We start from the raw sequence: 26,865 nt of genomic DNA on the forward strand, positions 1-26,865 counted from the left end.
AAGAGCGTGCTGTATTCTCTACTTGCCTGTCTTGACACACTCTCCAGGCTTCTCTGTAATAGCTCTGAGCTCCAGAAGGGCTGATCTTTGTGGATTGTGTCAAAGAGCTGCCCTGCCCTCTGCCTTCTGGTAGGAGACTTGCTGGGAGACTTGGGGTAGGGGGAAAGTGAGGTTGAGGTATTCATTTCTCCCTGCTTAGCCATGGGTGGGCAGTGGCTGCCTTCCTCAGCTCTGCTTCCTCTCCCAAGGATGGAAACAGCTTCCGACTGTGGCTGTCCTTCAGGTGTTTCACCATTATCCCTTCCCACTCCTTTGAAAGCAGCCCCTTCATCTGGGTTTTTCCTTTTCAAAGGTAAAGAGGGGAGAATTGAGCTCTCCTGTCATGGGGCAGCTGAGTAAAGATTTTGACTATAATAGATGGGAAATTTTCAAACTGGATAAAAATCAAGCCGGTTATTTGCTATTTAGAAGAAACACAAGTAAAGCAAAATAACAAGAAAATCTAATATCAGGGGATGGGTAACATAAAAATCTTAGGTGAGTCCACTTGACCTGGAGGCTCTCCAGCCCTCCTGCCTAAGGAAAGCTGGGAGGCTTTTGGAGCAGAGGGGAAGGGGTTGTCAGTGTAGAGTGTGATTTCTGGTGGGCAGACCTAGTGGGTGCCCATATGATGTATTAAGTTTTCTTTAACCTGTTTATCAGCAAAAAATATTTCAGGAGCTATGGTCAGGAGTTCGAGACTAGCCTGGCCAGCATGGCGAAACCCTGTCTCTGCTAAAAGTACAAAAAGTAGGGGGGTGTGGTGGCTCATGCTTGTAATTCCAGTTACTTGGAAGGCTGTGCTATGGTCAGTTGAATATTAAACTTAAGAAAGAGTCATGAAATTAAGAGAGCACTTTTTTTTTTTTGATAGAGGAGGATAAGAACAAAACACAGTGTGGCCTGTTTATTGAGGAGTCCCAAACCTGCCGTACAGCCTTCCCTGATCCCTGCTCCTCAAGCTGAGATCTAGTTCTTAATTCTTGGTTCATGCCAGCCCTGGGATCATCGCCTTTGTCACATCATTGCTGAACTCTTTCTACTTCAGACTGTTCGAGTTCATGCCTTTTCCTCTCCAATCAGATTCTAAGCAGGATCCATTCAATTTATCTTAGTTGTTGAGTGCATGAGTGAATGCCTGTTCTTTTCTCTTCTCTCCTGCTCATCTTCTTCCTGCTTTCCTTCCCCTACAGGCTCCTCAGGTCAGTGCAGGGGCTCACTGTCAGACTTTTCCCAGCCTACCATAAGGAAGCTGTCCTACCAGATATGTGCAGACAAGTTCTTTTACTTCAAAGTTTTTGGTGAGTCTTTGGCCCTATATTGGGCAAAATTACACAGAGGACGTGGGAGCCAGCTTTTCTCCAAAGTTAACTGCTCCTTCCAGGCTTGCATTGTATCATCATTATCACTAATAGCAATTCCAACTAACAGTCATTGAGGGTTTAAGTACCAGGCCCTGGTTATTCCATTGTTAATATCCACAATGACTCTAAGAGGCAAATACATTATCATTAACCTTTGTTACCTTCGTTTTGTAGATGAGGAATGTGAAGCTCAGACAGATGACTCAATTTGTCAAGGTCACATAATCAGTAACTAGCGTTTGTAAGATCCAGGTTTGCTGACTGTCAAGCCAGTGCCCTTCATTGTTTCTAGCTCTTCGGCTTCCCAGCCCACCTCTGTCCAGTGATCTCTGTTGGTGAGTTGTATGAAATGAGGTGGGTCCTTTGATTTTTAGGGACTCTGGGGTTTTGGAAAACCAGAGTCGGCAACAGCAAGGGCTATTGCAAAATGCTCAAGAATTTCTTAAGATGTAACACATTTGGAGCTCCCTTGGATTTTTAGCAAGTTAAAGGTAGCACTTAGCATATGTTAAGCATTGAGGTGCCAGCGGTGGTTACAATCTGCTCTGTAGCTTCAGAAATGTCTCGGTTCACACCCATTCAACAGATGCGATCTGAACAACAGCTACATGCCAGTTCGTATACTAATATGAGCAAAACCTACTTGCCAATCTCAAAGATCTCCTGGTGAGTGGTACGTGAGCAACAAGATGATGTCATAGTTTCAAGAAAGGGGAACTCACCCAGAAATGACTAGTATAGGTAGGAATGGTGCAGGCTTCCCAAAATCATTGCCAAGACCAGACACCACTTACTAAGAGTGAGAAATGTAACTTTCAACGTGACCAACATTGTGTTGGCTGGTCAGTGTATTCTCTCCCTACAGAAAGTGTCTATCTGAAGCCAAATTATTCTCAGAAGGATTATCCATAAGCCTAGCATTGTGGCACAAAGAAATAACTGGACCATTGTGGCTCTGAAGTCAGACCTGCCTAGACAAACAGAGTTTAGCTCGGCTGAGACATCCTCTCCCTTATAAAGGACGGAAACACCCACGTAGGTTGAGCCACTTTTTAGTTGATTGGGTTATCATCTATCTAGGAGAGAGACTCCCTTAGTTACATTCCAGTCCTAAGGATATGCCTGGCTCACCTCCCACATCTCCCCAGCATCAAGCCCAAGGGTCCTTTGTGAAGAGGTTAACCTCAGGCAATCTAAATTCGTTTTCCTAAGGATCAGCCTTGGAGGTCACACACTCCTAGGTCTAGATCCCCTAAAAATTGAACTCACTTAGGATGTAGGCATCTTCTCTCTAGCACTGTGGGGAGAATGGTCTTGGGTCTAATACTACCTGCTGTGCTGAATGAGAACTCAAAGCAGCCTGCAGGCATGGGGATTGTACTAATTTCATGCACTTCAGCTTTTTTAGTTAAGGCAATCAAGATCTTAAAAAAGTAACTTATTTTCATGCCTTTGTAAGACTTTTCATGTAAACAAAAAACTAGAAAAAGCAATCCTGTCAATTAGATGTCTTGAGGTTTGACTTAGAAGACATCATTCTAAGCCACTGTAACCTAACATTCTAATTTGGAGGCTTGAGGCTGCGTTGTTCTGCCCTGAGTTCTCTCAAGATAGGCCTTTTGAGAGCCATGTGGGTGCCCTGGAGTTATGGTTATATGAGTTCATGCTTGCCTTCTCTTCCAGAGTGCGAGCATCCCTGAGGATAGGGCTATGGCCTCACACGTGCCTCATGGTACATGTGGCTATAGCACAATTCTCTACACCACTGGTGGTGGTGTGCTCAGTAAACATTTGGAAATAGTAACCAGTACAAAAAGAGGGAGCAGTTTCATATAGGGCAGTTTCCCTACTATTTGCTTCTGTACTTTCTTTTTCCCCTGGAATCAAGGTCCCTGGGTTTTAATCTCAAAATACTATTTATTAGCTATGTGACTTTGGACAAGTAACATTTCTTCTCAGGTTCAATGTCATCATCTGCAAAATGGGACTAATTATAGTATCTATTTCATAGGGTTGTGAAGATTAAATGAGATAATAAAAGAAGATAATAGCAATAGGAAATACTGATATTGCACTTACTATAAGCCAGGCATTTTTCTAAATGTTTTACATGTATTAATTTATTTAATCTTAAGGATTTGAACACATGCAAAGGATCTAAAAATCACCTTTCTACTAGTAAATATCCAGTAAATGATAGATATAGTTATTATTAGAGTTACTCTCAGCCAATATTGCAGAAGAAAAAAAGCATGTGATAAACTCATTTCTACTAGGGTGTGACTGACTGACGATAGGTACATATCACTCCTCCTAGAGAATAAAGTGTTTGCATCTAACTGGATATTTTTAATTGTGGCATTTGAAGCCTCAGTGGAATTTACAAGGGAAGATATTTAATTTTTGGGGGGGTGAGTTTTAAAGGTCACAATCAGGCAGTCAGGTACCGTTCAGGCATGCCAAGGGAAATAAATATTCTTCACCTGGGAAATAATTTCATAAACATTGCCTCCCTGCCTAACAGATTTAATATATACTGAAGATCATACTGAAATCTAGGCAAATGTTTCAAAGAAACATCAAGAAATCCAGTGGAATGGTTTGTCACTTGTTCAACTTTCCAAATTTCTGGGAAGGCTGCAAAGGAGGAATGAGATGATCCTAGCCTGGGTTATAAATCTTAGATGCTGTCATCAGCCCTCAGATCATGGTTGGTTGGCGAGTGCAGGGCCTCCAGGGATTATTAATCCTGGGGATTCCAGCCTGTTTAAGACATCGATAGGACAATTATGGGAGTTTAGCCTAAGTTTGCCAAATTTTTATTTTGCCACAAAAAGTTAGTGATAAAACCACCATCTAAGGAGGGTTGGTGACCTCACACCAACATGCGCATACACTGTGTCATTTCTTTGTCATTCTGTTGCAAATCAGAGAAAGATAGCCGCAAACCAGCACTAGTCCATGGACCAGCATTCAGAAATGTTCTAGTCCAATACTCGTCTCCCGTTTTGTAGAAAGGGAGAATCCCAGGCCCAGGGAAGTAACCTTTTTGAGGTCATAGCTCTGATCTTTCTACCAGGCTGCACTTTGTCATTGTGTGCCCAGCCAGAGTATTTAAGTGGTTTTCTCTTTCCAGGCATGTCTCTCACCTGAGGGACTCTGTAGATGGAGAGCAGCTCAGACATGGGCTCTGACTCCAGGAAGGTCATCCCTCCAACCACGCCCAGGAGATGTTGCTGGGAGCCACAAGCATAGTTGGTTGTGGGTGGAAGCTGATTGGACAGCAGGGCCAGGGTGCTCCCCAGAGCCTGGATCCCTGAGATGCAGGAGTCATAAATCTGCAGTCCCACAGTGATGTCGGGCAGCCCCTTCTGCCTCAGCCACAGCAAAGAGAGGGGACTCAGGGCATTCAGGAAAAGGAGGACTTTGAATCTTAGAGAGGGTCAAGGACAGAAGGAGTTAGATTTGGCCAGTAGCATTCTAAAGAGCCACAAAAAACAGCCCCAGGGAGTCCCTCCTTGGGAGGAGCAAAGGAGAGGTGGGACTGAATGTAGATGTACATTTGCTTAAAGAAGCATTGGGGTAGGGGAGAATTCTAGAGATTTAGACACATACACACACACAACACACACGCACACAAGCAGATAGACTTAGAGAAAGGCTGCAGTTTCCTAGAGTTGGACAAGGAGACACACAGAGTGACAGGTGGGCAGATAGACACACACAGACTCATTGTAGTGCAAAGAGAGGCTGACAGCAATGGAGGCACATAAACAGCATCGGCTCTACAAACTCAGGCAGACACCTGACAGAGGGGCTATGGAGTGGACGGGACACGTAAACAGGAAGACACATGGACTGGGATAGGTTATTCAGATGCAGAAACAGTCAGATACACACAGAGACAGGCACTCTGATGTAGAAGAGATAAGGACACAGGTGACACAGACACATAGAGAGACTGGTAGTCACATACACAGGCAGACAGATGGGTGCAGGCCTAGGCAGACAGGCAGATATCTGCATAGACAGACAGAAGCAGAGAGTGATGAGTAGAGGCAAAAGACACACAGCACATGCCTTTGACAAAAACTCAGGCATGCCTTTGACAAAAACTCAGGAAGAAATAAGACAGACGTGGGGCAGGTGATGTAGGAGTCTAGCTAAATACTTCCTGGGCATCTTTTTGGAGAGGAACTGCTGGCTCACAGATTGAAGTCTGGTTCAAAACTAGTTAAGCCTTGGAAACAGTTCAGATATGCATGAAAGCTGAATTTGTGGGCTCATGTTGCTGACAAGGGTGGGTCTGGGGCTACCTTCTCTGTGAATGTGCCCATGAAGATACATCTTGCCTCTCATGGCTTTAGTTGCCGTGATTTTGAAAACACGCCCAGGCAGAAGTTGCTGGGCTCTGCTGTCCAGCAAATTTAAGGAGTGTTAGCATTGTGCAAAGGGGGGCATTGAGACCCAGAGAGAGAAAAGGCCTTGCTTGCAGTTGCTCAGCTGCTCAGAGAGAACTAGGACTAGAACAGACCCTCTAATGCTCAGGTGCGTGTTCCTACTGCCGGGTCTTGGCACCTGTGACAATGTCTTGAAGACACACAGCCTAGTGTGGATTCAGTCCCTCACTGTGGCTTCCACCAACTTACTTCTCACCCAACCCCCAAAGACTCTGAGGGAACTCACGGAGAGGGGCGCTGTCCTGGCCAAGGGTCTCCCTGTCAGGAGCCCTGTAGTGGGTATGACAGGTCTGGAGTCCCCAGCTGCCTACAGTGATTGGGAAGGTGGCTCCCTCCCCTCCCTCCCTCCCTCCTTCTCTCCCTCTCTCCCTCTCCAGGGATTAAAAAGCATGACCCACTGTCAGCATAGTGGCTGCTCCGGAGGCTGCTGGAACTTGACTTCTGTCTGGTCCAGCGCTGTGTGTAAGGGGTCGCAGCCCGGATGAACATATCTCCTTTGGTGGAGAAGGTGTCTGCAGGTCTGGACGTTGGCAGGTAGCTGGGGGTCCAGATAGTGTCCACCATGGACACTGTGAGAGCAAGACCACAAGGACCGCAGGATAGGACATGTGGATTGTCCTTCTCTGTGGGCCTTTGGCTGGGGGTCCTTTGTTGTCAGAGCGTCTGTGCCTGCTTCGTTTGCGAGGATCTAGGCACACCTGCTGGGGCTTCCATGGGACCCCAAAAAGAAGGAAATTGACTGTAGTTGAGCTCTCAGCCTTTGCCTTACATGGTGATATCTTCAGCGTTCTCCAGGTCTCCGAGACTTTCTTATTTCCCTGGACCCCCAGCAGCCCCCATCCTTGCCTCTAGCACCCTGTCAACTACTAATTTTCCTTACTTTCAGGCCGAAGTTGACTGGCAGAGACAGCCCCAGGGTATAGGAGTGGGAAGGATGCCCTTCCCATCCACACCTCTGTTCTTCTGGTGACCCTGCACCAGGGTCTGTGTTTATGAAGAAGTCAGACTTCCTGTCCCTGGGCCTCCTGGGCCCACACCCCATCATCTTCAAAGTCAGAAATAATCCGGTGATGCACAGGAGAGGCCGGGGGTCTCCAGGGAGAGGCTGTAAAACAAGCCAGCAAAGCAGGTTTCCCGAGTCTGTGGCTGAAGGCCCCCTCTCAGTCTCACCGGCACTGGGGAGTGTGTGCTGTCCATCGTGTCCACAGTGGGGCACAGGCTAAGGGAGGGCTGGCTGCAGGGTTCAGCTGTAATTTGTTTTTGGCTTGAATTCTTTTTTTTTTTTTTGAGACAGAGTCTCGTTCTGTCGCCCAGGCTGGAGTGCAGTGGCGTGATCCAAGCTCACTGCAAGTTCCATCTCCCGGGTTCACGCCATTCTCCTGCCTCAGCCTCCCGAGTAGCTGGGACTACAGGCGCCTGCCACCATGCCTGGCTAATTTTTTTGTGTGTGTTTTTAGTAGAGACAGGGTTTCACCGTGTTAGCCCGGGTGGTCTCCATCTCCTGACCCCATGATCCGCCCACCTCGGCCTCCCAAAGTGTTGGGATTATAGGCATGCGCCACCAAGCCCGGTCCTGTTTTTGGCTTGAATTCTATTCCCAAATCTGCTGCGAATTCTCGGAGTGATCTTGGGCAAATCACCTTCTCTTTTTGGGCCTCAGTTTCCCTCTCTGTGATGGGAAAATATTGGATTCAACTGTTTGCAAACTCTATTTCAATGGCAAAACCCTTTCATAACATACTGTACAGTGTGGATTGAAATAATGGACTCTGAGACAAACACAGTCAAGGTTCCAGAAAGGTCCAGTTGAGCACCTGAGGGCAGTAAGAGGAGGGCTGGTGCCAGGGCCTCAGAAGGCCAGTATTGGGATTGTAACAGTGGTACAGTGTACAAAGCCTCCTCCAACCTACTTTCCTATTTGGTCCTCATGATAGTCCACATACAGCAGGAATGCTCTTTCTCATTTTACAAGTGGGAAATGGAAGTGTGGAGAGGTGGGGTGATTTGCTCCAGGTCACACAGGCAGTAAAAAGGACTCGAGTCTCCTGGATCCTGCCCCAGACCTGCACTGACTTATAAGGTGGCCCTGCAGAAACGGGGAAGGGCATGCTCTGCAAGGGCCACCTGCCAACTTGCTGGATGAGGCATTGATGCAGCTGGGCTGCTGAGTGTTTTGAAGTATTTCCCTATGGGGGAGGGTAGGAGGACCATGCACCATGTCCTTTCTCACCCACGCTGCCTCACAGAGCAAGAGAGACAACCTGCCATGAGCTCCAATAAAGCCCAGGACACCCAGCCGGGCATGGTGGCTCACGCCTGTAATCCCAGGACTTTGGGAGGCCGAGGTGGGTGGATTACCTGAGTTCAGGAGTTCAAGACCAGCCTGATCAACATGTTAAACCCTGTCTCTACAAAAATACAAAAAAAAAAAAAAAATTAGCTGGACATGATGGTAGGTGCCTGTAAATCCAGCTACTCAGGAGACTGAGGCAGGAGAATCACTTGAACCTGGGAGGTGGAGGCTGTAGTGAGCTGAGGTTGTCATTGCACTCCAGTCTGGGTGACAGAGTGAGACTCTGTCTCAAAAAGAAAAAAAAAAAAGAAAAAAAAGGCCCGGGAAACCCAATGCCATGGTTTCCATGCCAGGTTGGTGGCTGAAGCCTGAAATTCCTCTGTTACACAGCAACCCTCCAACAGCCCACGGGAATGAGCCCATGCCATGTAGGAAGATCGTCTTAGCATGAACCCTCAGACACTTCCCAAGTTACACCAAAAATAGTCCCCAGGATTCAAATCCTGACCCAGGGCCAGATATTTAACATCTGTGGGTCTCACCTTTATCTCACATAAAATGGGAGTGATTGCCTTCCCTGCCCACTTGGCTGTTGAGAAGCTTCAGTGTGATCATTTAGGTCATCAAAAGAGCTTTTCCAATTTTCAAGTGCTGTGAATAATAAGAGGTGGTTATTCCAGGATTGGTAATTCAGTAACAACAGCATAGTGGTGTGAATAGCGGCTCTCAGGGGCACTCCAGAGAGCAGTTTGGTGGGGGGCAAGTGGGGAGATTATGGGCAGGGACTATACACTGGTTGGCCTGAAGGGAGCACCAGGGAGCGGGAAAAGTGCAGCGCTGGAGATTCGCATCCATGAATATAAATTGTCCAACACATTATTCTGCCCATGCCAGCCCCGAGAACATGTTCAGGAACCTCAGAAAGGGAGAGCAAATGGCCCAGGGGAAATTCTGCTTGTTAGTTCAGCCATGTGGGGACTGTCTCCGCCTGTGAGTGACAGTCCAGTGCCTCTAATGGCTGCTTGAAGGTTACCTGGGGGTGTCCACTCACAGGGATTTGCTTTGTGACTGTTACTCAAGTGAGTCCATGCCTCACACATGGGAGACTCCATGCCTCACACATGGGAGACTCCATGCCTCACCTGGAGTTAACACCCTGGATTTGTGGCCCTATTGTCCTTGCCAGCTTCATAGCAGACTTGAGGGCCAGTCTCGTAGCCTCTAAACTGTCTGGGAGGCCCCAGTGGGTGTTTCATATGTGGATGGAATGAGTTCACTGTCCCCTTCCTCTCTGCCTGTGACACCTGCAGTGTGCAAACCTCTGGAAGGAGGCATATTCTCTTTCTCAGCTACACCTGAGGAGGCTGGTTCTGCTTGGATTGTGGCTCTCTTGCCCTGAGTACTGGTTCCTTGCCCTGAGTACAAGGCTACCTAAATCTGCAAGATGTGAGAAGGATCTTTTCTTAGTTTCAGTCCTCACTGCATTTGGGCTCTGCTATGTCCCCTGAAGAAAGGGCTATACAAACTTTCTCCTCAGGCTGGGCGCCATGGCTCATGCTTATAATCCCAGCACTCTGGGAGGCTGAAGCACGAGAATTGCTTGAGCCCAGGAGTTTGAGACCAGCCTTGGCAACATGGTGAGATCTTGTCTCTGTGAAAAACTAAAAAATTAGGGTGCAGTGGTACATGCCTGTAGTCCTAGCTACGGGGGAAGCTGAGGTGGGAGATCGCTTGAGCCCAGGAGGTTGAGGCTGCAGTGAGTCAAGATGGCTCCACTGCATTCCAGCCTGTGTGACAGAGTGAGACCCTATCTCAAACAACAAAAAACCAAACCAAACCAAACCAAAACAAAACAAAACACCTCTCTCTCCAAACTCTGGGTCTTGTTTTATTAGCTGGGCCTTGCAGCAGAGCTGTGTGTCCCAGCATCACTCTTTTTTTAATTATTATTTTTATTTTGATTTGAGATGGCATCTTGCTCTGTCACCCAGGCTGGAGTGCAGTGGTGCCATCTCGGCTCACTGCAACCTCCACCTCCCAGGTTCAAACTATTCTCCTGCCTCAGCCTCCCGAGTAGCTGGGACTACAGGTGTACGCCACCATGCCTGCATAATTTTTGTATTTTTTTTTTTTTTAGTGGTGATGGGTGGGGGTTTCACCATGTTGGCCAGGCTGGTCTTGAACTCCTGACCTCAAGTGATCTGCTCGCCTTGGCCTCCCAAAGTGCTGGGATTACAGGTGTGAACCACCATGTCTGGCTCCAGTATCACTCTTAAAACTCTTGAAAACAATCACTTCAGATGTACATTATACTTTTCCCCCCTCTAATAGAAGCTTAAAAGTAGTCCTGGCGTGTACACCGTGTCACCCACCACCCCACACACTCCTAGGTGTCTGAGCAAAAATCTCCCCCATCCTACCTTGAGGTCCCAATGCTCATGCACATCAATTTATGCAAATTGGAACTCACTGGTCTCATGTGGTTGGTTTCCCGCAGGCTCCTCCAGGACCACCCTACTATTTAACAAAGAAAGGCAGCACTAACATTGGAACTTCAGACTTCAATGGCATAAATTCTGTGGACATGGTGGCCCTTGAACCACTCAACACAGATAGTAGAGCACATGAGTCATCTCTTGCCCTGTACAGGCACTGAGCCATGGCCACAGTGTCTTCACTATCAAGCTCTAGCCATAGATGATTGGGCACTGGGTTAGTTGAGGGGCTAAGAGACAGGATGTGCCTGCCTCACATTCCATCTGGGTGGACAGTAGGTTACTTTGTTTGTCCTCTGGGCCTCTTGAGAGAAGAATGCTAACCAGTTCCCTCTGTGTCAAAGAACCAGTCCAGCCCATTCCCTTCTGCTACCCACAGATGTCCCTAGTCTCATGGCTGACGCTGGCCTAGAAGTCATGGGTTGATCTTGTCAGGCAGGGATCACAGGGTTTCCTCAGTTCAGCTCCACAGACTTTCTGATCCAAACAAGGAGAAGTGAACTTCTTTTATTTCCAGGGGCCTAAGATGCTTTATATCCAGCAGCAATTGGGAGAAGAGAAACTCTTCTCTCTCTAAGGTCTGCCCTTGCCTTGTTCCCAAATGGGCTGCATATGTATTTCCTAAGACACTTAATTTTTCAAGAAGCCAGACAGGGGCTGGGCCTGTTGGCTCACGCCTGTAATCCCAGCACTTTTGGAGGCCAAGGCAGGCAGATCACTTGAGGCCAGGAGTTTGAGACCAGCCTTGCCAACATGGTAAAACCCCATCTCTACTAAAAATACAAAAATTAGCCAGGCGTGGTGGTGCATGCCTGTAGTCCCTGCTACTTCAGAGGCTGAGGCAGGAGAATTGCTTGAATCTGGGAGGCAGAGGTTGCAGTGAGCAGAGATGACGCCACTGCACTCCAGCCTGGAAGAAGACAGAGCATTAAAAAAAAAATAAAATAAAAATAAAGAAGCCAGCCAGACTTGTGTTTCTCCTAGGGGAAAGAGCCTAGCGAAGTAGAGTTTGCATTCCTTTGATTAAATCTACCCTGCAAAGGGCCAATGGCGTAAAAGGACTGGGATAAGAAGAGGGAAATGACCAAGGGCTGTGGATGAGCCTCACAACAACATACTACGAGAACAAACTTCTCCAGATATGAGTGGTGTTATGGTCTGAATGTTTGCATGCCACCCAAATTTATTTACTTATTTATTTAGAGATTTTTAGTAAGATTCACTAGTGGCAATGTAAATAAACTACAATCCAAAACAAAATTAGACAAATCTATCTAATAAATAAATTCATAACCATTACTACTTGCTTATAACATATCTGGCAGAGATGTTTAAAATGTCAACAATATTAATTTTTTGAGGGTGGAGGGTAGGAGGAGGGAGAGAAGCAGAAAAGATAACTATTGGGTACTGGGTCTAATTCCTGGGTGATGAAATAATCAGTACAACAGACCCTTACGACATGAGTTTACCTATGTAACAAAACTTCACATGTACAATTGCACTTAAAATAAAAGTTAAAAAAATTACTTTTCTTGTAGGTTAATTGTAAAAATATAACAGTTTTGAGTCAATCTCCATTAATACTTAAAGTACAAATATTTATTAAATGAGGTTCAAAAGACTTATAATACATACAACAAAAACATCTATAAAACAAAGACAACTTTAAAAGAATTGCTCAATTTACTTCGTAGTGTTTATTTTTTTCATGTAACACATTTTAAAATAGTATTTGTATCCATGTATTTTTGGATACATGAAATTCACATCTAGATGTCTATTCTATTAAATCATTATTCTTTCTTCAGTGTCAAATCTTAATTTTCATTTCTGGCTGGATTTTTCTTCTTTAGCAATACTTTTTGTTACCCCTTTACTATATTTCTCATGGAAGAAATTATGACCTTAGTATGTCAGAAAATGATCACTTAGCAGATGTGAATGCTGGTCCTGGTTTTCACATTTCTTCACATTTTCTGTTGTAATCAAGCACCTTGATGTGTGGCTGAAAAGCTTCTGCTTACAGTTGCTAATGAGCTTCAGACGGGTGTGGGGTTGTCATCTCTTCAGTGTATTCTGCTGTATATACTGGTAACCAATAGATTAGTCTTCCAAATAACATGAGAGTCTCAGCTGCAAAGTTTAGCAGGTCAAAAAGCATATTACTCGGATGATAACTCAAGGAAACAGGAATGTGGCTTCCTGGACATTTTTCTATCCCCTTTGATATTTCCTTCTGTGAACCTATTCTTCTTGCAGATGCTTTAATACCATATGGAGGATCAGTGATTACTGCATTAAAATATGTGCCATTCTCCAGGAAAGTTTAGATGTATCTGAAACCAGGACATTTAATATGGTCAATCATATTTGTCAAAATGTATTAGAGAAAGTATTACCTTCTCTAAACCATACTGACAAAGATTTGCCCTAATGTTTTCATCTGGTCCTCTCCATTTCTGGTTTTTCTTACCTGCCTTTCCTGAGCCATAAACTGTGTTGTAGTTGATGCCTGTCTCATATACATATGCATCGAAATGAGCAGATGCTATCAGGAGGCCTCCTGTTCCAGCAAATGGATCAAAATCAGTATCATTTTCTCTTTTCCATAATTAGTCACAATGAATGACAAACCGGCATCCATGCTTGTATTTCCAATAAAGTGTCTCATTTTGACAGTGTATGACTCAATAAGCTCTCTCTGTCCATCTGTGATCTATCTACTAAAATAAATATTATGCGAATTCTTAGGGATGCAGTTTGGGTCCAAACCATAATTCTCCAAAATATAGAATATATGTTGTGGCATCTTTAAATTTACAGAATTTAAATGGCAGAAATCCAACTGCTTTATTCATTTGACTTTTTCTTCTTATGTCAATGTTTTATTACATGTGTGAATCTTTATTTTATACACAGAGTATGAATATACAAATAGAACTTAGCACACACTGTACGTTTCGTTACATTTCTTGCAATACCTTCAGAAAGAATGCTAAGAATCCAAAATGGCGACTTTCTGTAAGTTTCCTGTCTGCAGGTGAACTGACCTCCAAAAAATGATAGCGAAGACTTTGTTTTTATTTTATTTTTTATTATACTTTAAGTTCTGGGATACATGTGCAGAACATGCAGGTTTGTTACATAGGTGTACATGTGCCATGGTGGTTTGCTGCACCCACCAACCTGTCATCTAGATTTTAAGCCCCTCATATATTAGGTATTTCTCCTAATGCTATCCCTCCCCTTGCCCCCCATGCCCTTACAGGCCCTGGTGTGTGATGTTTCCCTCCCTGTGTCCATGTGTTCTCATTGTTCAACACCTACTTATGAGTGAGAACATGCAGTGTTTGGTTTTCTATTCCTGTGTTAGTTTGCTGAGAATGATGTCTTCCAGCTTCATCCATGTCCTCGCAAAGGACATGAACTCATTCTTTTTTATGGCTGCATAGTAGTCCATGGTGTATATGTGCCACATTTTCTTTATCTAGTCTATCATTGATGGGCATTTGGGTTTGCTATTGTAAATTGTGTTGCAATAGTCTTTGCTATTATAAATAGTGCTGCAATAAACATATGTGTGCATGTGTCTTTAAAGTAGAATGATTTATCATCCTTTGGGTATATACACAGTAATGGGATTGTTGAGTCAAATGGTATTTCTAGTTCTAGATCCTTGAGGAATCACCACACTCTCCACTTCCTCTCCAGTATCTGTTGTTTCCTGACTTTTTAATGATTACCATTCTAATTGGTATGAGATGGTATCTCATTGTGGTTTTGATTTGCATTTCTCTAATGACCAGTGATGATGAGCTTGTTTTCATATGTTTGTTGGCCACATAAATATCTTCTTTTGAGAAGTGTGTTCATATCCTTTGCCCACTTTTTGATGGAGTTGTTTTTTTTTCTTGTAAATTTGTTTAAGTTCCTTGTAGATTCTGGATATTAGACTTTTGTCGGATGGATAGATTGCAACAATTTTCTCCCATTCTGTAGTTTGCCTTTTCACTCTGATGATATTTTCCTTTGCTGTGCAGAAGTTCTTTAGTTTAATTAGGTCCCATTTATCAATTTTGGCTTTTGTTACAATTGCTTTCGGTGTTTTAGTTATGAAGTCTTTGCCCATGCCTATGTCCTGAGTGGTATTGCCTAGGTTTTCTTCTAGGATTTTTTATGGTTTTAGGTTTTGCATTGAAGTCTTTAATCCATCTTAGTTAATTTTTGTATAAGGTGTAAGGAAGGGGTCCAGTTTCAGTTTTCTGCATATGGTTAACCAGTTTTCCCAACACTATTTATTTAATGGGGAATCCTTTCTCCATTTCTTGTTTTTGTCAGGTTTGTCAAAGATCAGATGGTTTTAGATGTGTGGTGTTATTTCTGAGGCCTCTGTTCTGTTCCTTTGGTCTGTATATCTGTTTTGGTACCAGTACCATGCTGTTTTGGTTACTGTAGCCTTGTAGTATAGTTTGAAGTCAGGTAGCATGATGCCTCTGGCTTTGTTCTTTTTGCTTAAGATTGTCTTGGCTCTACGGGATATTTTTTGCTTCCATATGAAATTTAAAGTAGTTTTTTTCTAATTCTGTGAAGAAAGTCAATGGTAGCTTGATGGGAGTAGCAATGATTCTATAAATTACCTTGGGCAGTATGGCCATTTTCATGATATTGATTCTTCCTATCCAGGAGCATAGAATGTTTTTCCATTTGTTTGTGTCCTCTGTCATTTCCTTGAGCAGTGGTTTTTAGTTCTCCTTGAAGAGGTCCTTCATGTCCCTTGTAAGTTGTATTCCTAGGGATTTTATTCTCTAGCGAAGACTTTATTAAAGCAGACAGAACTTCAGGAGCTGCCATGAGCAGCAGACACCTGTTTAGGGTGCACGGCAGCTGTGCCCCCCAAATCCATACATTGAAACCTGATCACCAACGTGATGGTGTTAGGAGGTGGAAATTTTGGGAGGTGCTTAGGTCATGATAGCAGAACCTTGATGAATGGAATTAGTTCCTTTCTGAAAGAGGCTTCAGGGAGCTGCTGGTCTCTTTCTTTGACTTGAAGGCACAGCGAGAAGGTGCCACCTATGAACAAGAAAGTGGGCCTTCACCAGACATGGAATCTGCTAGCACCTTGATCTTTGACTTCCTAGACTTCAGAACTATTAGAAGTAAACTTCTGTTGTTTAAAAGCCACCCAGTTTATGGCATTTTGTTACAGCAGCCTAAAGAGGCTAAGACAAGTGATGGCATGGGATGCAGGTAATTGCATCCAATGATCATGGGCCAGAATCAGTGTGATCCAGTCTCTTCTTTTAATAATTATGATTACTAAAGGAATCATCACTTACTATGTGCCAACCTCTGTACCAAGTACTGGATATGCATTAACTCAGGGATCAACAATCTATGACTCATAGTACAAATCTAGCCTGCTGCCTGTTATAAGTCTATTGCAATACAGTCACACTCGTTTGTTTATGTGTTGCCCCGTGGCTGCTTTCTCACTAGAATGGCAGACATGAGTACCTGTGAGAAAGATCATTTGGCCTGAAAAGCCTAAAATGTTTACTCTCTGGCCCTTTATGGAGAAAACTTTTTGGCCTCTGCTTTAAACCTAACTTTTAGTTTACAAGTAATTTTTTGTTGCTGAATAACAAATTACTACATTTAGCAGCTCAAAGCAACACAAATCTTATAATTTCCATGAGTCAAGAGTCAGCATAGAGGTTATCTGCTCATGGTCTTTCATGACTGAAATCAGGTTGTTGTGTGGGGCTTCAATCTCATCTGAGGCTCAAGGTCCTCCTCCAAACTCTTTCAGGTTGTTGGTTGAATTCATTTGCCTGCTGTTTGCATAGCTGTGGTGCCCATTTCCTGGCTAGCTGTCAGCCAGGGACTGACTTAGAAGCCACCATTAGGTCCTTGCCATGTGGCCACATCTCTCACAACAAGGCAGCTTACTCCTTCAAGACAAGCAGGAGAATGTGTCTTCTGCTTCAAATCTCTTTTATGGGCTCACTGACTTTTGGCTTATATTCTAAAGGTGAGATAATGACAGAACTTTGAGATACCCACCCAATATATAACTTTAGAATAGTTTTTAATTATTATTATTTCTTTTTTATAGAGACGAGGTCTCACTTTATTGCCAAGGCTGGTCTTGAACTCTTGGGCTCAAGTGATTCTCCTCCCTTGGCCTCCCAAAGTGCTGGGATTACAGGCATGAGACACCATGCCTAGCCTAAGAACAGTTTTAAAATCAATGAAACAATAATTTTAGGAAATGTTATAATTTTAGCTTACTAAACTGACTTTTTCACTATAGAATAAATGAATATATGTGAATCCCTACAGATCCCAAATCTTGAGTTATGCAAATAAAATAATTGAAATCTTCCCCTTTTAACACTTAGTGAAAATTTTCAGGATAAAGAGAATGACAGTTCTGACAAGAGAAGAGATGGGAAGGGAAAAACAGTAGTTCTGGAAACATTAGGTAAGGATGTTTGGACTTGGAGAGGAGTAGTGGAGTAGGGTGGACAAGATGACTTTAAAAGTCACTTCCAATGTTGAGATTTCTATAACTCTTGGAAAACAGGTTCCAGGAAGGTTCTGAGAGGCTTGGGATAGAGAATAGATTAAAAAAGGCAGACATGAATCAGGTGGAGGAGCAGGATGTTCACAAATGGGAAACAACTGATCTTGCAAGTTTGTCAAGGAGCTACTGGGGAAGTCACATCCTGCTCCTCCTTCAATAGCTTAAGGACTTTAAGAGGAGACTGGTCAAGAAGTTTCAGCTAGAGTTACAGCCTCTCAAAAACCCAGAAGTTACCTATGGCCTTTTTGAAGGCAACTTGTATATCCTTCTTTAGACTTTGGATCAAAAGTTCTAGCATAGGAATAAAGATGGTGCAAGTCATGATGCCAACTTGTCTTCTGTCAGTGATTTATCTGAGGTACTTCACATGTCTGAAGATGGGGATCCCAAAGGAAGGTCATAGCAGTTAGGTGGGAGGCACAAGTGGATGGATAAAATTATTGGCTTTGCCACTCGATGATTTCATCCTCAAAGCCCTGATGATTAGCAGGTAAGAGATCAGGATGACCCTAGTGCCAGCTATAATCATAAAAGCTGTCAAAGATCACAATAATTATCTTGCTGTTTCCTGAAGTATTTCAAATGAGCTTCAGCAGGGGCAGGATGTGACAGAATTTGATCTAATTGTCATCACAGAAGAAGCGGGCAAATGTGCAGATGGTGTTGAAAGTGGCTCCTGATAGTCCTCAGGTGTAGGCATTCACCACGTTCACCATCAAAACCCAGCATGTCAGCCAGGCATGGTGGCTCATGCCTGTAATCCCAGGACTTTAGGAGGCTGAGGTGGGCAGATCATTTGAGGCCAGGAGTTTGAGATCAGCCTGGTCAACATGGCAAAACCTCATCTTTACTGAAAATACAAAAATTAGCCAGGCATGGTGGTGCATGCCTGTAATTCCAGCTACCTGGGTGGCTGAGGCATGAGAAACGAGAATCGCTTGAACCCAGGAGGTGGAGGTTGCCGTGAGCTGAGATCGTGCCACTGCACTCCAGCCTGGGTGATGGAATGAGACTCTGAAAAAGAAAAACAACAACGACGACAACAACAAATCCCCACCAAAAAAAAACCCCAACATGTCTTGAAGTTCATGGCTTGTAGTGTGGGGCAGTGGGCTGCTTATGGTCATTGCTGTTGGCAGGAAACACTAAGTTCCTACACAAATGAAGAAAAAGGACCTCATTGCTTTTATTAGCGGCCATAGGAAATGGTTGTCTTGCCTGTGGCCAGAATGGCCAGGATCTGAGGCATGATGACTGAGGTATCCCAAAGGGTGACATTTGTTAGGAAGAAGTATATAGGGTGAAGAGATGCACATTCACTTGGGTCAGAATGACCCATTCCATATTTCTCAAAATAATGGCCAGGAAGCAACTGAGAAACACTAAGAACAAGGGCATTTCCAACTCTGGGTAATCAGTGAAGTTCATAAACCCATTCATAGAGATGAGATTCTTTTCAGTTGTAGGTTCACTATTGCTTGCTCTCTGAGATTGGAAATAGAATATTACCTCTAGAACTGTGGACAAGGTATTATTCTTCTACAGTAGTTATTGTGAGGATGTCCTAGGCATATCTCAACGAGAAAGTAAATGGTTGCCCTCTAGAAGACCCATCATTGGTATTTTCTCTTGAGCATCTCCTCTCTTTGAAAACATCGAATGGAGCTGATATGGAGCATTGTTCCTGGTTAAAATCCACCTGTTGGCTCATAACTGGAGTCTTCCACAAAGATGACAGGCTCTGAGAATCTCAGAATTGGAAAAGACTTGGCAAAGACATTCACCTTACAAGTGATGAAGCAAGGACAGAAACAGAATTCTTTTAACTCAATCTCATTTCTTTTTCCAGGAGACAGCACTGATCCTTGTAGACCATTTGACTGTTTTGTGATAGAGAACTCGAGGAAAGACTTCCCAAGGAACTCAAGTAAAGGGTGTTTATTCTACGTCAATGCATGTGAAAACTTCAGCTTCACAGAGGTTGAAGATGCAGGGTAGGTCCTACATCAGGAAGGCCCTAGAGACTACAGCAGAAGGAAGTCAAGGATCTTTGCTTTGGTGTACCACCGCAACCATCACTCAGTTGTACTCTGAGTTCTGAGTCTTTTTTTTTTTTTATCTTGCTGGTGTCATTTCTCTCAATTTTAGGGCTTTGCAAAAAGATTCCTTGGGCTCCTGAAGGAGTTATGGAATGGCTTGAGGAGATCCATTATTATCCAAGTAGTGAGTGAATGAAAAGCATTCTAAAATAAATTAAAATTATATACTTTTTAGAGTATTCATTAATCAGTAAATTGAATTTTTATATTGGTAGAGCTCTAAAATAGTTTGTAGGAGATTGCAAAAGTGGCCACAATACCTCGAAGCAACTCTCATCGAAAGACTGAATTTATCTCTCCATTTCTTGAAACTGTATGGTCTCATGACTTACTTTGATAGAGTGTGGTGGAAGTGATGTCATGCCAGTTGTAGCTCTAGGCCTCAAAAGGCTTTGAGCCTGCTGTTTTTGCATTTTTGGAATCATGAGAATGCCATGTGAATGAGCCTGGATAGCTTACTGGAGAACAGGAAACCATGAGAAAAGGCGCCCCAGTTGCCTCAGTTGTACCAGATGAAGTCATTATTGACCATTCAGGCTCATACATATTGACAATTCAGGCTCATACCTGGCAGAGAACTACAGGCAAATGAGCATATCCAACCAATATCAGCCAAGTCCCACTCAGACCAGAACTGCCCAGCTGAGCCAACACAAACTGCTGACTTGTAGAATAGTGAGTTAAGTGAATGGTTGTTGGTTAAACCCACTGTTTTTTAAGTTTTAAGTTACGCAGCAAAGAGTAATAAATACCTAGTTCTACAAAAACGATTTTCTTTTTCTAAAATGTCAACTTTTATTTTAGATACGGGGGTACATGTGCAGGCTTGTTACATGGGTATATTGCACCCAGGTAGTGAGCATAGCACCCAATAGGTAGTTTTTCAACCCACACCCTCTCCTCCCTTCCCCCACTAGTAGTCTGCAGTGTCTATTGTTCCATTGTTTATGTCCATGTGTGCTCAATGTTTAGCTCCCATTTATGCATGAGAATATGTGGTATTCAGTTTTTTGTTCCTGTGTTAATTTGCTTAGGATCATGGCTGCCTGCTGCATCCATGTTGCGGCAAGGGACATGATTTTATTCTTTCTTAGGGCTGCATAGGATTCCATGGTGCATATGTACCACATTAAAAAAATCCACTTCACTGTTGATGGGCACCCACATTGATTTCCTGTCTTTGTATTGTGCATAGTGCTGTAATGAACTTAGGAGTGTATGTGTCTTTTTGGTAGGACAATTTATATTCTTTTGGGTAGATACCTAATAGTGGGATTGCTGGCTTGAATGGTAGTTCTATTTTTAGTTCCTTAAGAAATCTCCAAACTGCTTTCCACTGTGGCTGAACTAATTTACATTTCCACCAACGCATATAAGCATTCCCTTTTTCCACAGCCTCACCGGCATTTGTTGTTTTTTGACTTTTTAATAATAACTATTCTGACTGGTGTGTGATGGTATCACATTGAGGTTTTTGATTTGCATTTCTCTGATGATTAGTGATGATTAGCATTTTTCCATACGTTTGTTGACTGCTCGTATGTGTCCATCTGAGAAATGTCGGCTCATGTCCTTGGACCATTTTTTAAAAATTATACTTTAAGTTCGGTTACACGTGCACCACCTGCAGGTTTGTCACATAGGTATACATGTGCCATGTTGGTTTGCTGCACCCATCAACTTGTCATTTACATTAGGTATTTCTCCTAATGCTATCCCTCCCCTTGTCCCCCACCCCCCGACAGGACCCAGTGTGTGATGTTCCCCGTCCTGTGTCCATGTGTTCTCGTTGTTCATCTCCCACCTATGAATGAGAACATGTGGTGTTTGGTTTTCTGTCCTTGTGATAGTTTGCTTAGAATGATGGTTTCCAGCTTCATCCATGTCCCTACAAAGGACATGAACTCATCCTTTTTTGTGGCTGCATAGTATTCCATGGTGTATATGTGCCACATTTTCTTAATCCAGTCTATCACTGAAAGACATTTGGGTTGGTTCCAAGTCTTTGCTATTGTGAATAGTGCTGCAATTAACATACATGTGCATGTGTCTTTATAGTAGCATGATTTATCATCCTTTGGGTATATACTCAGTAATGGGATTGCTGGGTGAAATGGTATTTCTACTTCTAGATCCTTGAGGAATCGCCACACTGTCTTCCACAGTGATTGAACTAATTTACACTCCCACCAGCAGTGTAAAAGTGTTCCTATTTCTCCATGTCCTCTCCAGCATCTGTTGTTCCTTGAGTTTTTAATGATCACCATTCTAACTGGTGTGAGATGTTATCTCATTGTGGTTTTGATTTGCATTTCTCTAATGACCAGTGATGATGAGCTTGTTTTCATATGTTTGTTGGCTGCATAAATGTCTTCTTTTGAGCAGTGTCTGTTCATATCCTTTGCCTACTTTTTGATGGGGTTGTTTGTTTTTTTCTTGTAAATTTGCCTAAGTTCTTTGTAGATTCTGGATATTAGCCCTTTGTCAGATGGGTAGATTGCAAAGATTTTTTCCCATTCTGTAGGTTGCCTGTTCACTCTGATGATAGTTTCTTTTTTTTTTTTTTTTTTACTTTTGTTGACTTTATTGATCTAAATAATATGCTATTAATGTAGTCAACATTTACATTGGCTTTCTTAAGATATTAGTTACAGTGTTGACTTAAATTGACCTTTCTATCAGATAAAATGATCAGGGCATTTTTAAGAAACATTTTGTATTGTTAAGTTAGGTCTTCTTCATTTATGCAGCCAAAAGACACATGAAAAAATGCTCATCATCACTGGCCATCAGAGAAATGCAAATCAAAACCACAATGAGATACCATCTCACACCAGTTAGAATGACAATCATTAAAAAGTCAGGAAACAACAGGTGCTGGAGAGGATGTGGAGAAATAGGAACATTTTTACACTGTTGGTGGGACTGTAAACTAGTTCAACCATTGTGGAAGTCGGTGTGGCAATTCCTCAGGGATCTAGAACTAGAAATAGCATTTGACCCAGCCATCCCATTACTGGGAATATACCCAAAGGACTATAAGACACATGCACAAGTATGTTTATTGTGGCACTATTTACAATAGCAAAGATTTGGAGCCAACCCAAATGTCCAACAATGATAGACTGGATTAAGAAAATGAGGCACATATACACCATGGAATACTATGCAGCCATAAAAAATGATGAGTTCATGTCCTTTGTAGGGACATGGATGAAATTGGAAATCATCATCCTCAGTAAACTATCGCAAGGACAAAAAACCAAATACCACATGTTCTCACTCACAGATGGGAATTGAACAATGAGAACACATGGACACAGGAAGGGGATCATCACACTCTGGGGCCTGTTGTGGGGTGGGGGGAGGGGGGAGGGATAGCTTTAGGAGATATACCTAATGCTAAATGACGAGTTAATGGGTGCAGCACACCAGCATGGCACATGTATGCATATGTAACTAACCTGCACATTGTGCACATGTACCCTAAAACTTAAAGTATAATAATAATAATAATAATAATAATAATAAAAAGTTAGGTCTTCTTTTTTTAAAATTTTATTATTATTATACTTTAAGTTTTAGGGTATATGTGCACAATGTGCAGGTTAGTTATATATGTGTACATGTGCCATGCTGGTGTGCTGCACCCATTAACTCGTCATTTAGCATTAGGTATATCTCCTAAAGCTATCCCTCCCCCCTTCCCCCACCCCACAACAGTCCCCAGAGTGTAATGATAGTTTCTTTTGCTATGCAGAAGCTCTTTAGTTTAATTAGATCCCATTTGTCTATTTTGGCTTTTGTTGCCATTGCTTTTGGTGTTTTAGTCATGAAGTCTTTGCCCATGCCTATGTCCTGAATGGTATCGCCTAGGTTTTCTTCTAGAGTTTTTACGGAGTTAAGTCTTACATTTAAGTCTTTAATCCATCTTTAATTTTTGTATATGGTGTAAGGAAGGGATCCAGTTTCAGTTTTCTGCATATGGCTAGCCAGTTTTCCCAGCACCATTTATTAAATAGGGAATCCTTTCCCCATTGCTTGTTTTTGCCTTTGACCATTTTTTAATGAGGTTATTTGTTTTCTGCTTGTTGATTTCTGTTCCTTATAAATTCTAAATATTAGCCCTTTGTCGATGTATATTTGTGAGTATTTCTCCCATTCTGTAGGTTTTCTGTTTACTGTGTAGATAGTTTCTTTTGCTGAGCAGAAGCTCTTTCATTTAATTAGGTCCCACTTGTCAATTTTTGGTTTAATTGCAGTTGTTTTGAGGACTGAGTCATAAATTCTTTCCCAAGGCCAGAGGGTATTTCCTAGGTTCTCTTCTAGATTTTTTTTTCTTAAATTTAAGGTCTTACATTTAAGTCTTTAATCCATCTTGAGTTAATTTTGTATATGCTGAAAGGTAAGGGTCCAGTTTCATTCTTCTGCATGTGGCTAGCCAGTTATCCCAGCACCATTTATCGAACAGGGAATCTTTTCCTCATTGCTTGTTTCTGTCGACTTTGTTGAAGATCACATGGTTGTAGGTGTGTGGATTTACTTCTGGGTTCACTATTCTGTTCCACTGGTCTATGTGTCTGGTTTTGTACCAGTACCATGCTGTTTTGGTTACTATAGCCTAATGGCATAGTTTGAAGTTGGGTAGTGTTATGTCTCCAGCTTTGTTCATTTTACATATGATTGCTTTGACCATTTGGTCTCTTTTTTCTTCCATATGAATTTTAGAATAGGTTTTTCTAATTCTGTGAAGAATGATGTTGATAGTTTGATAAGAATAGCATTGGATCTGTAGATCGCTTTGGGCTGTATGGCCACTTTAATGATATCGATTCTCCCAATCAATGAGCATAGAATGTTTTTCCATTTATTTGTGTCATCTATAATTTCTTTCAGGAGTGTTTTGTAGTTCTATTTGTAGAGCTCTTTCACCTCCTTTATTAGCGGTATTCCTTGGTATTTCATTTTCTTTGTGGTTATTATAAATGGGATTATGTTCTTAATTTGACTCCTAGCCTGGATATTATTAGACATGCTACTGATTTTTGTATATCCATTTTGTATCTTGAAACATTATTAAAATAGTTTATCAGTCCTATTAGCATTTGTACATCTTTAGATGTGCAAAGAACTGGTACCAATCCTGCTGAAGCTATTCTAAAAAATTGAGGAGGAGGGACTCCTCCATAACTGATTATATGAAGCTGGCATCAGCCTAATATCAAAATCTGACAGAGACTAAAGGGAAAAAGAAAACTTCAGGCCAATATCCCCTATGAATATGCATGCATAAATCCTCAAGCAAATACTAGCAAACTGAATTCAGCAGCACATCAAAAAGTTAATACACCATGATCAAATAGGCTTTATTCCTGGGTTGCAAGGCTGGTTCAACATACACAAATCAATAAATGTGATTCATCACATAAACAGAATGAAAGGCAAAAATCATATGATCATCTCAATAGATGCAGAAAAAGCTTTCTATAAAATGCAACATCCTTTCATGTTAGAAACCCTCGACAGACTAGGCATCAAAGGAACATACCTCAAAATAATAAGAGCCATCTTTAACAAACCCACAGCCAACATCACACTGAATGGGAAAAAGCTGGAACCATTCCCCTTGAGAACTGGAACAAGATAAGGATGCCCACTGTCACCATTCCTATTTAACACAGCACTGGAATTCCTAGCCAGAGCAATCAGGCAAGAGAAAGAGGTAAAAGGCATCCAAACAGGAAAAGAAGAAGTAAAACTATCTCTCTTCACTGATGATATGATTCTATACTTAGAAAACCCTAAAAACTATTTTCAAAAATAAAACAATGTAAGTCCATGTACGTTAAAGCAAATCACCTTGTATTGATTCTCTGATTATTAAGCATAATTATAATTTAATTATTTAATCAGTTTCTTAGTCACCTGCTTCTAATATTGTGTTAGAATTTTTCAGAATAACACATTTTTCTATATGGCCTTATTTCTGAAAACAGCTTTGTTGAGGTATAATTAATAGACAATAAAAACTATTTAATGTATTTGATGAGTTTGACATATACATACCTGTGAGACCATCACCACAATCAAGGCAATCAATGTATTAATCATCTCCAAAAGTTCCTTTTGTCTCTTGGTGAGAGTTTTTTGTTTTTTGATGGTAAAAATCCTTAACATAAAATCTACTCTTTTAACAAAATTTTAAATATCCAATATCATATTTTAAGTTGTAGCCACTCTCTTGTACAGCAGATTTCTATAAGTTATTCATCTTGTTTCTGAAACTTTATGCCCGTTGAGCAAAAACTCCTTATTTCCTCTCCCCCAAAACCTGGGCAAATACCTCTCTATTCTATGCTTCTATAAATTTGACTACTTTGGATATCTTATATAAGTGAAATCAAGTAGTATTATTTTTATTCTTTTTTAAAAAATTATGTGCACTCTCCCTCAAATTTGGATTTTATGTTTGATAAATATAAAACTAATAATCTTCAATGGGCTCTTTACTATAGACCATAATATTTTTAAAAATGTCATTGACATTGGGATGACATCAGTAAGATGGAAGAATGGATGGTCAAACACATGTATCCCCCACAATAACAAGAACCCCGCACCCATCCACAGGCAAAAGTGTTTCTGTGGGAGCCTTGGAATTTAGGTAGGAGGTTATAAAGCCCTGGTGGATCCTAGGATGGTCTGAGTGGAGACCAACACCCAGGTTGCAGACTTGCTTGGCTACAGCTCTGTTTGGTCTTGAACCTGCTATTGAAACAATTTACCAAGAGCTTCAGGAGGAATCATGCACACTAATGCCTTGGCAGACAGACAACACACAGACTGGGAGAAAATATTTGCAAATCATACATCATATCAAGGGCTAGATAATATCCAAAAACATAAGGAACTCAACTCAATAGCAAAAAACCAAATAACCCAATTAAAACATGGACAAAGGACCGAAATATACATTTCTCAAAAGAAGACATACAAATGACCAACAGATATGTGAAAAAATATTCATCATCGCTAATCATTAGGTAAATAAAAAGTGAAACCACAATGGAATATCACCTCGCACCTGTTAGAAAAGATATTAAAAAGATAAAAGATGAGTTTTGGTGAGGGTTTGGAGAAAGGGACCCCTTGTGCACTGTTGGTGGTAACGTAAATGAATACAGCCATTATGGAAAACAGTATCAGAAGTTTCTCAGAAAATGAAAAATAGAATTACTATGTAATCCAGCAATCTCATTTCTGGATATATAACCAAAGGAATTGAAATCAGTATCTTAAAAAAAATCTACCATCCCATGTTCATTGAATCATTCTTCACAATAGCTCAGATATGGAAACAACCTAAGTGTCCATCATCAAATAAATGGATACAGAAAATATGGTACATATATACAATGGAATACTATACAGCCCTAAAAAAGAAAAATAATTTAAAATTTGTGACGACATGAGTGAAACTTGAGGACGTTTATGCTAAGTGAAATAAGCTAGGCACAGAAACA

The 26,865-nt window shown here is 42.0% G+C and overlaps 1 protein-coding gene and 2 pseudogenes across 1 annotated transcript in view, besides 1 other annotated feature; 1 reads left to right on the forward strand and 2 right to left on the reverse strand.

Annotated features, from left to right (window-relative positions):
- The window catches only part of OR9Q1 (olfactory receptor family 9 subfamily Q member 1), a 157,736-nt gene that overhangs the window by 36,019 nt on the left and 94,852 nt on the right, over positions 1–26,865 (forward strand). The window lies entirely within an intron of this gene.
- Positions 7,166–7,665: an enhancer, noted in NCBI's record as "H3K4me1 hESC enhancer chr11:57834537-57835036 (GRCh37/hg19 assembly coordinates)". NCBI's record gives its function as "activates a minimal SCP1, AML or CMV promoter by ChIP-STARR-seq in naive H9 embryonic stem cells {active_cell/tissue: H9 hESC(naive)}" and the evidence as "EXISTENCE:reporter gene assay evidence [ECO:0000049][PMID:30033119]".
- LOC100421793 (tRNA methyltransferase 11 homolog (S. cerevisiae) pseudogene) lies at positions 12,289–13,734 on the reverse strand (annotated as a pseudogene).
- OR9L1P (olfactory receptor family 9 subfamily L member 1 pseudogene) lies at positions 17,451–18,707 on the reverse strand (annotated as a pseudogene).

Source organism: Homo sapiens, chromosome 11, assembly GCF_000001405.40.
Source record: "Homo sapiens chromosome 11, GRCh38.p14 Primary Assembly".
Classification (NCBI taxonomy): Eukaryota; Metazoa; Chordata; class Mammalia; order Primates; family Hominidae; genus Homo; species Homo sapiens.